Source organism: Homo sapiens, chromosome 2 (assembly GCF_000001405.40).
Source record: "Homo sapiens chromosome 2, GRCh38.p14 Primary Assembly".
Lineage (NCBI taxonomy): Eukaryota > Metazoa > Chordata > Mammalia > Primates > Hominidae > Homo > Homo sapiens.
The window spans coordinates 206,413,502-206,422,229 of NC_000002.12; the positions used below are offsets into that span (position 1 = coordinate 206,413,502).

The 8,728-nt window shown below is 43.3% G+C and overlaps 1 pseudogene, besides 1 other annotated feature; it reads right to left on the minus strand.

Moving 5' to 3' along the window:
- Window positions 1,841–2,341: an enhancer, noted in NCBI's record as "H3K4me1 hESC enhancer chr2:207280066-207280566 (GRCh37/hg19 assembly coordinates)". NCBI's record gives its function as "activates a minimal SCP1, AML or CMV promoter by ChIP-STARR-seq in primed H9 embryonic stem cells {active_cell/tissue: H9 hESC(primed)}" and the evidence as "EXISTENCE:reporter gene assay evidence [ECO:0000049][PMID:30033119]".
- HNRNPA1P51 (heterogeneous nuclear ribonucleoprotein A1 pseudogene 51) lies at window positions 5,473–6,817 on the minus strand (annotated as a pseudogene).

The following is an 8,728-nucleotide window of genomic DNA, read 5'->3' on the forward strand; positions in this document are numbered from 1 at the left end:
TGCAATGTGGTGCTGAGAAGAATGTATATTCTGTTGATTTGGGGTGAAGAGTTCTGTAGATGTCTATTAGGTCCACTTGGTGCAGAGCTGAGTTCAAGTCCTGGGTATCCTTGTTAACCTTCTGTCTCATTGATCTGTCCAATATTGACAGTGGGGTGTTAAAGTCTCCCATTATTATTGTGTGGGAGTCTAAGTCTCTTTGTAGGTCTCCAAGGACTTGCTTTATGAATCTGGGTGCTCCTGTATTGGGTGCATATGTATTTAGGATAGTTAGCTCTTCTTGTTGAATTGATCCCTTTACCATTATGTAATGGCCTTCTTTGTCTCTTTTGATCTTTGTTGGTTTAAAGTCTGTTTCATCAGAGACTAGGATTGCTACCCCTGCTTTTTTTTGTTCTCCATTTGCTTGGTAGATCTTCCTCTATCCCTTTATTTTCAGCCTATGTGTGTCTTTGAGCATGAGATGTGTCTCCTGAATACAGCACACTGATGGGTCTTGACTCTTTATCCAATTTGCCAGTCTGTGTCTTTTAATTGGAGCATTTAGCCCATTTATTTTTAAGGTAAATATTGTTATGTGTGAATTTGATCCTGTCATTATGATGTTAGCTTGTTATTTTGCCCATTAATTGATGTGGTTTCTTCCTAGTATCGATGGTCTTTACAATTTGGCATGTTTTTGCAGTGGCTGGTACAGTTGTTCCTTTCCATGTTTAGTGCTTCCTTCAGGAGCTCTTGTAAGACAGGCCTGGTGGTGACAAAATCTCTCAGCATTTGCTTGTCTGTAAAGGATTTTATTTCTCCTTCACTTACGAAGCTTAGTTTGGCTGGATATGAAATTCTGGGTTAAAAATTCTTTTCTTTAAGAATGTTGAATATTGACCCCACTCTCTTCTGGCTTGTAGAGTTTCTGCCAAGAGATCCACTGTTAGTCTGATGGGCTTCCCTTTGTGGGTAACCTGACCTTTCTCTCTGGCTTCTCTTAACATTTTTTCCTTCATTTCAACCTTGGTGAATCTGACAATTATGTGTCTTGGGGTTGTTCTTCTTGGGGAGTATCTTTGTGGTGTTCTATGTATTTCCTGAATTTGAATATTGGCCTGCATTGCTAGGTTGGGAAAGTTCTCCTGGATAATATCCTGAAGAGTGTTTTCCAACTTGGTTTCATTCTCGTCACTTTCAGGTACATCAATCAAACGTAGATTTGGTCTTTTTACATAGTCGTATATTTCTTGGAGGCTTTGTTCATTTCTTTTTACTCTTTTTTCTCTAAACTTCTTGCTTTATTTCATTAATTTCATCTTCAATCACTGATACCCTTTCTTCCACTTGATTGAATCAGGTATTGAAGCTTGGGCATGTGTCATGTAGTTCTTGTGCCATGGTTTTCAGCTCTATCAGGTCATTTAAAGTCTTCTCTACACTGTTTATTCTAGTTAGCCAATTGTCTAATCTTTTTTCAAGGTTTTTAGCTTCCTTGCGATGGGTTCAAGCATCCTCCTTTAGCTTGGAGAAGTTTGTTATTACCAACCTTCTGAAGCCTACTTCTGTCAACTTGTCAAAGTCATTCTCCATCCAGCTTTGTTCCGTTGCTTGCGAGGAGCTGCGATCCTTTGAAGGAGAAGAGGTGCTCTGGTTTTTAGAATTTTCAGCTTTTCTGTTCTGGTTTCTCCCATCTTTGTGGTTTTATCTACCTTTGGTCTTTGATGTTGGTGCCCTACAGATGGGGTTTTGGTGTGGATGTCCTTTTTGTTGATGTTGATGCTATCCCTTTCTGTTTGTTATTTTTCCTTCTAACAGTCAGGTCCGTTGGCTGCAGGTCTGTTGGAGTTTGCTGGAGATTCATTTCAGACACTGTGTGCCTGGGTATCACCAGTGGAGGCTGTAGAACAGCAAATATTGCGGAACAGCAAATATTGCTGCCTGATCCTTCCTCTGGAAGCTTTGTCACAGAGGGGCACACGGCAGTATGAGGTGTCAGTCAGCCCCTACTGGGAGGTGTCTCCCAGTTAGGCTACATGGGGGTCAGGGACCCACTTGAGGAGGCAGTCTGTCTGTTCTCAGAGCTCAAACACCATGCTGGGAGAACCACTGCTCTCTTCAGAGCTGTCAGACAGGGATGTTTAAGTCTGCAGATGTTTCTCTGCCTTTTGTTCAGCTATGCCTTGCCCCCAGAGATGGAGCCTATAGAGGCAGCAAGCCTTGCTGCGCTGCAGTGGGCTCTGCCCAGTTCGAGCTTCCCAGCCACTTTGTTTACCTACTCAAGCCTCAGCAATGGCGGACGCCCCTCCCCCTGCTGGGCTGCTGCCTCGCAGGCTGATCTCAGACTGCTGTGCTAGCAGTGAGCAAGGCTTTGTGGGCATGGGACCCACTGAACCAGGGGCAGGATATAATCTCCTGGTGTGCCGTTTTCTAAGATGGTTGGAAAAGTGCAGTATTTGAGTGGGAGTGTGCCGTTTTTCCAGGTACAGTTTGTCACGACTTCCCTTGGCTAGGAAAGGGAAATCCCCTGATCCTTCATGCTTCCTGGGTGAGGTGACACCCCGCCCTGCTTCGGCTTGCCCTCTGTGGGCTGCACCCACTGTCCAACCAGAACCAATGAGATGAACCAGGGACCTCAGTTGAAAATGCAGAAATCACCCGTCTTCTGCATTGATCACACTGGGAGCTGCAGACTGAAGCTGTTCCTATTCGGCCATCTTGAAACGGCTCTCTCTTTTTTTTTGAAACAGAGTCTCACTCTGTTGCCCAGGCTGGAGTGCAGTGGCATCATCTTGGCTCACTGCAATCTCTGCTTCCTGGGTTCAAGCAATTCTCCTGCCTCAGCCTGCCAAGTAGCTGGGATTACAGGCCTGCACCACAATGCCTGGCTATTTTTTTTTTTTTTTTTTTTTTGTATTTTTTAGTAGAGATGAAGTTTTGCCATGTTTGCCAGGCTGGTCTCAAACTCCTGACCTCAAGTGATCTGCCCACCTCGGCCTCCCAAAGTGCTGGGACTACAGGTGTGAGCCACCACCCCAAGCCACTTTTTTATTTATTTCTGATTGCCATAATATTTCTAAGCCAATACTGATTGAGACCTACTCTGTACCAGGCATGGTCCTGGGAACTACAGATAGAAAGATGATTAAGAATATGGTATTTGCTCTCTGTGATAAGTTCAATAAAGGATTCACATATGTAACCCAAATGTCCCCAACAAGCTTCTGGCTCCTGGATGAGATGACTTCAACTGTTTTTCCCTATATGTGTGTCAATTAATAGCATCGCTCACCTTACCTTCTCACCTTACCTCAATCTTTCTTCTCTCTGTGAATCTACAAAAATGGGAGTTTGTTTCTCATGTAGTTTATGTCAACATCCTATGTCTGCCAGCCTTCTGTTTTGGCAGCTTCCCTCATTGTCCCTCATTAATTATTAATAACGATTTGTCCACATTGTCCACATTGATGGTGCCTAACCTCTCTATTGGTGTACTTGGAGTGTGTACCCAGGGGAACTAACCTGTTTCCCACCTTTGGTGTTCACTCCTTTCTCTGGCTTGTTGGTTACATTTTTTTTTGCTCCACTCTTCGGTAGGGATTGGGACAAGGGATGAGAGTGAGGTGGAAGAGAAAAAAGGTATCTTTCTGGCAGAATTGCTTAGGCTCATAATGATAAGGTTTTTTTATATAACTTTTTTCTGATAATCTTGCTTTTGCTTTTTAGCCCCATATTATATAGGGAACCGGGTGGTTGGATGAGGGTGGCTTGAGTTGAGCCTCATTTGAACTCAGAACAAATGTTTCCATCTATTAAACACTTATCCTCAGACCTGGCTCACTGTGGCAGACTCCTCTCTGGAGTCTGGCTTATGGTGGCCCTCTTCCCAAGCCCACTGGACATGCCTATATATTTCTGAAACTTGGTTGTACATAGGTTCAAACTCATTGCCATGGAGTCCTCAGGAGTCATGCAAATAAGTATGTTTTGATCATCTTTGCTGTTAACAAGTATCTCTAAAACCTAGTGGCTTAAAATAACCATCGTTTTATTATCTCTCATAGTTTCATGGGTTGACTCAGGTGGGCAGTTCTGCTCGTTTCACTTGGAATTTCTCATATGGTTGCCGTCAGTTGGTGACTGTGGTTAGAGTCATCTGGACTTTACTGCAATCAATGTGCCTGTTCATTCTCTAAGTAGACTCAAGACCTCTTCTGTTCTTTTTTTTTCTTTTTTAATTATACTCAAAGTTTTAGGGTACATGTGCACAACATGCAGGTTAGTTACATATATATACATGTGCCATGTTGGTGTGCTGCACCCAGTAACTCGTCATTTAACATTAGGTATATCTCCAAATGCTATCCCTCCCCCCTCCCCCAACCCCACAGCAGGCCCCATTGTGATGTCCCGCTTCCTGTGTCCATGTGTTCTCATTGTTCAATTCCCACCTATGAGTGAGAACATGTGGTGTTTGGTTTTTTGTCCTTGTGATATCTTGCTGAGAATGATAGTTTCCAGCTTCATCCATGTCCCTACAAAGACGTGAACTCATCCTTTTTTATGGCTGCATAGTATTCCATGGTGTATATGTGCCACATTTTCTTAATCCAGTCTATCATTGGTGGACATTTGAGTTGGAAGACCTCTTCTGTTCTTATGGCCACTCCATGTGGCCTCTGTCACGGGACTTTTTACGTGGCAGCTTAGGGTTTCCCAAAGCCAGCATTCCAAGATGGAGGAAAAAAAAATCAGTCCATCCTTTTAAAGGCTAGGCTTAGAAATAGTGTAGCATCACTTTTGCTGAATTCTACTGGTTAACTCAAGTCACAGGCCAGCCCAGATTCAATGTGGGAGGGTTTTATGCAAGGATATGAATACTGAGTGTCATGGTACAATGGATGGCCATCCTTAGAGACTAGCCACCACAGTCCACCCTCTGTTTCTCAATAATGTATGTCCTTCCTTCATGCAAAATACATTTTTCTCCCTTCCAAGACCATTGAAGTCTACTCATACCATGGCATCAGGTTTGGGCTTTAAATCCAGGATCATGTCATCTGAATCATATCTAGGTGAGCTTAAGGTTTCTTGGGTTCAGCTATCGTCAACCTGAAGACTGATGAAGTAAAAAGACAAATAATCCGCTTCCCACCCAAAACACAAATACAATGGCTAGGCAGTGATGAAAAACTGAAATAGAAATCCCATTCATGAAAGGGAAAACAGGAAGCATAGAGCAGTCACTGGTTCATAGCAATTCTGAAATTAAGTTGAGAAAATTTTGCCAATTCTTTGACCAAAATTCATTTCTACTCCCTAGAGTGGTCCTCTGTGGCTCTTGGTTCCACCATTTAGGCTTTGTTTTCACCCTCTGAGTCATCTTTCCTTTTGCATAAGAAATGGCCTGTATTTACAGCTGAGTAGCTTCCTCAGCTTTCTTTCTATCAATATAAACCTATGGCCCAGCGACTTCTTTTCATTTTTTTTAAAGACATTTATTCAGCATCACGATCAGACTATTACATTTAGCAATCAATAGCATGGGTGCAAAAAAAAATCTACATTTCAAAATCCTTTGTTGGAATGCTTTACACTTTCCACAGAACAGAAACTAAAATAACCTGTTATACAATTAGTCACAAATACAGTCCTCGAGCTTTTTGCCCATACACATGAGTACTTGTCTAAAACATGTCTTCTTTGTAGCAGCTAGGCCATGCCACCACTGTGTTTTGCTGGGTTCACAAATCTGTTGTAACTTGTAGCTTCCCTGTCACTTCTCTGGCTCTCCTATCCTGCTAAGCTTCTGCCACTGCCATAGCTACTGCTGCTACTGGAACAGCCATAGCCACCTTGGTTTCATGGTTTGGCTAAGTATTGGTCTCCACCACCATAGGGGCCAGAGGTTCTGCCTCCAATCCTCCCTTCATGGGTCCAAAATTTGAAGACTGTTGTAATTGCCAAAGTCATTGTAGCTTCCACCACTTCCAAAATTGCTTCCATCATTACCAAATCCATTATAGCCATCCCCACTGCCACCATATCCACCACCACCATGGCTGCCACCAAAGCCACCACGACCACTGAAGTTTCCTCCATGACCAAAGTTGTCATTCCCACCAAAACCACCTCCACGACCACGACCAAAGTTTCCAGAACAACTTCGACCTCTTTGGCTGGACGAAGCATTAGCCATCTCTTGCTTTCACAGGGCTTTCCTAACTTCACAGTTGTGGCCATTCACAGTGTGGTATTTCTGAATGACAATCTTATCCACAGAGTCATGGTTGTCAAAGATTACAAAGGCAAAGCCCCTTTTGTTGCCACTGACTCTGTCAGTCATGATTTCAGTCACTTCAATTTTTCTACACTGCTCAAAATAATCTCTTAGGTGATGTTCTTCAGTGTCTTCTTTAATGCCACCAACAAATATCTTTTTCACAGTTAAGTGGGCACCTGGTCTCTGAGAATCTTCTCTTGAGACAGCTCTCTTTGGTTCCATGACTCTTCCATCCACCTTGTGTGGCCTGGCATTCATGGCTGCATCCCCCTCCTCCACAGTGTCATATATGACAAAACCAAAGCCCGTGGAGCACTTGGTGTTTGGATCTCTCATTACCACACAGTCTGTGAGTGTTCCCCCATTGCTCAAAATGGCTCCTCAGGCTCTCATCGGTTGTTTCAAAGCTCAACCCTCCAATGAAGAGTTTCCTCAGCTGTTCGGGCTCTTTAGGAGACTCTGACTTAGACATGACAGCAGGAAGAAGAGAGACTTTAACTATGCTTCTTTGGCGGCGTCCACGGGGGGAAAGGAGCAAGCTGATGAACATATATCAGACTTCTTTTCATTTTAAACTATGTTTGCATCTTTTAGTCCAAGCTGATGGTACAGTTCTCTTGAACTGTGCCAGTGTCCTATCAACCTTACAGGGTCACTCGATTAGACAGAAGCCACATACACAATTGTTTTTGAGACAGACCCCCTCTACCTTGGCCTGTGAATCAGGGTGCTGTGGGACAATGTCTTAATATTCTTAGAAGCTCTATTGTCTGGGTGAGAGTGTTTATAAGACATACCATTTAAGGTTCTTAGAAGTCTTTCTGTGTAGATAAAAGGGTCTATGAGGAATATCCTCAACACTTCCTAAGGTCTCAACAAATTGGCTACCTCACTGATGCAAAATTACTCCTGGGATCATGTTTTGCCAGAAGAGTCCTGGATTTGATCTTTGCTGTGAGGTCATCTCTTCCAGGATCTTTTGCTGCCTGGAGGAGCTAGAAAAGAGAAAGTTTTATTTTTGAATCCAGAAAGTCCTAAATTCTGTATATTTTCTCCTAATTTTGGTTAAAAACTGAAGAATTACTTTTTTAGTTCATGTTTCTCCTCCTGTATGTTAACACAGGCAGCCAAAAGAAGCCAGTTGGTGCTTTTGATACAGTCGTATGTGTGGGGAATTGGTTCCAGGAACACTGCAGATACCAGAATGCGAGGATGCTCAAGTCCCTTATATAAAATGGTAGAGTATTTGCATATAAACTATGCACATCCTTCCGTATACTTTAAAACATCTCTAGATTACTTATAATATCAGATACAATGTAAATGCTATGTAAATAGTGGTACTACATTTTAAAAATGGGTATTATTTTTATTGCTGTACTATTATTATTTATTTGAGTATTTTCCACCCATGGTTGGTTGAGCCAATGGATGAGGAACCCGTGGAGGCAGAACCCATGGATACAGAGAAGCTGACTGCATTCTGACTGAAAATCTCCTAGCCAGAGCTATCTGTTTACGACATATTCTTCCTGTCTTCCATGCTACAGGGGATAGTTTTGCTAATTGGTCTGCACATAATTCAGGTCACGTTTTCTCCAGTTTCCAATAGCAATTTCTTCGGTGTCCTTCGAGTCTTCACTATTCACCTCCTTAAGGAGCTTTCCAGCTTCTGCCTGCCACTGAATTCCAAAGCCCATGCCATATGTTTTAGGGTTTTGTTATGGCAACACCCTACTTCTATGAATCAAGTCCTGTTTTGGTCGTGTATTGCTTAAACTTAAAACTTATGAGTACTTAAACAATAACCAGTTTATTAGCTCTCATTGTTCTGTGGTTGACTGAGCACAGCCATGAAGTTCTACTGGTTTAACTGGGATCTTTCTTGTGGCTGCAGTAAGATGTTGGCTGTGGTGGGGGTCAACTGGTGGTTGCAACTGGGATCCCGAGACAGCTAGGTCTCTTTCCTTCTCCATATGGCCTCTCTGTGTGGTCTTTCTAGTCATGTAGCTGTACTTCCTTCCTTCTTTTTTGAGACAGAATCTCACTCTGTCACCCAGGCCTAGGCTGGAGTGCAATGGCATGATCTCAGCTCACTGCAACTTCCACCTCCCAGGTTCAAGCGATTCTTGTGCCTCAGCCTCCTGAGTAGCTGGGATTGCAGGCATGTGCCACCACGCCTGGCTAATTTTTGTATTTTTAGTAGAGACATAGTTTCACCATGTTCGCCAGGCTGGTCTCGAACCCCTGACCTCAAGTGATCCACCCGCCTTAGCCTCCCAGAGTGCTGGGATTGCAGGCATGAGCCACTGCGCCCACCCTAATTACATGGCTGTACTTCTTACACTGTGGCTCTGGATTCCACAAATGGAATGTTCCAAGAGGGAGGAAGAAGCAGCAGCCAGTCCTTTTAAAGGCTGAAATTGGTGCCGTGCCACTTTGACCACTTTCGATTGGAAATCT